We start from the raw sequence: 1586 nt of genomic DNA on the forward strand, positions 1-1586 counted from the left end.
TACTTGGGAGGCTCAGGTGGGAGAATCACTTGAGCTTGGGAGGTTGAGGCTGCACGGAGCCTTGATTGCACCACTGAGCTCCAGCCTGTGGAGTGACAGAGCCAGACTTTATCTCCAAAACACAAAAATAAAAAATTGGCCAAGTGAGAATGGGTTGGAGAACCCACAGCTCCTCTTCACTGGAGTCTCACCTTGCTTTGGGTGGCTTTGCTTGGCTTCCTTGGCAAACAGCCAGGTTCCAGTTCCTCCCTACAGTCCTTTCTTCCTGGAAAGCAATGGTTGCATTTTTCCATCCTGGGAAAGGTCCCAGGGCTCCCAAGAGCAGAGCAGTTGAATCACTGGGCCCAGACAGGCAGTAGTGCCTTCTCACTTCCTGAGGCTCACCGCTTCCCTTCTATGGATGAGAAAGGGGGACCCAGGGCCAAAGGGCTTCTCCCCAGGTCACCGTCTCACTCCCCTGGTGCCTGATAATTAATTCAGCAGCTGGAGCTCCTGTTACCACCAAAGATTCATTGAACTCTTCCACGTGGAGCTTGCAAGTCAACTGACAAGACACCTTGAGCTTCCCCCAGATGTTCGCATCCCAGGGTTCCGTCATTAGGCGGGACGAGCTCCGTGCTTATTAGTAGAAAAAAGAGCAATCCACTGAAAGCCGCAGCACCATCTGGAGGAAAATCGATGTCTCTATATTTAGGCCAGATGGGAGCAGCGTCAACGGAACCGAGCGGCACATGTTTGTACCAGTATGTGCCAACAGCACGCGTGACACCCCACATCTCATTTCATTATTTACCAACTTAGAAAAATAACGTGTAAGCCAGGCTACAGGCAGGGCCTGTTTATTGAGAATATGGACAGCAGCCCATGCAAATGACAATGTGAGACGTGACAGCAAACACCACCAACAGACAGTTACTGCCATACTATTGCAACTAAAACGCAATTTTTGGATTCTGTCTGGAGCTCTGTTTTAAGGCATGACTCCAGTGGCCAGTTTTTGCTTCCATAAATGAAGGGATGTTTTGTGCCAGACGTCATTGTCCTTCTGGCCCTCAATGGGGCCATTTAGAGCTTTGTGTCTGTTGTGTGAATGTTTATCTAAGCCCCAACTATTCTGGAGATATTTGTTAATTTATCCTGCATTCAATGCAAGAAATATTAATATGAACTATGAGTGAGGGAGCATTGCTAAGTGGACCACTGTATTTTTTTCTGTTCAATATTCATTGCCTGTATTTCTGGCAAAATAGTGTGTCAGTCTCTTTCTGGCAGGTTCACACCAACCATCATCAGGTCACATGAATGGGTTTCTTCATCCCTTGCATTAGAGGTGGTTATTGTGTCAGCCCATCAAAGCATCCCATTGCCTTAGCCATGGTGGGTTTAGTCATGTTGCATGGCCCAATGAGAGCTAAACAGGTGCAGTGAGACTTGTGCTGAGCTTTTAGGAGTGAGGCAGGTTCTTTCTTTGTCCTGAAGGGGAGAACATGTAGAGTTCTCCCCTGCAGCAGCCATCTTGTGACAATGAGGAGCATTTGGGGGAAATCAGACTCTGATGCTATTTTTTCCGTGCTCGTAGATTGAAC

General features: G+C 47.8%; 1 annotated feature.

The window, feature by feature from the left end:
• Nucleotides 509-678: an enhancer, noted in NCBI's record as "experimental_25563 CRE fragment used in MPRA reporter constructs". NCBI's record gives its function as "activates a minimal promoter by MPRAs in K562 erythroleukemia cells, with activity observed for the non-introgressed 12:130434290 variant allele {active_cell/tissue: K562}" and the evidence as "EXISTENCE:reporter gene assay evidence [ECO:0000049][PMID:34662402]".

This window comes from Homo sapiens, chromosome 12 (genome assembly GCF_000001405.40).
Source record: "Homo sapiens chromosome 12, GRCh38.p14 Primary Assembly".
Classification (NCBI taxonomy): domain Eukaryota; kingdom Metazoa; phylum Chordata; class Mammalia; order Primates; family Hominidae; genus Homo; species Homo sapiens.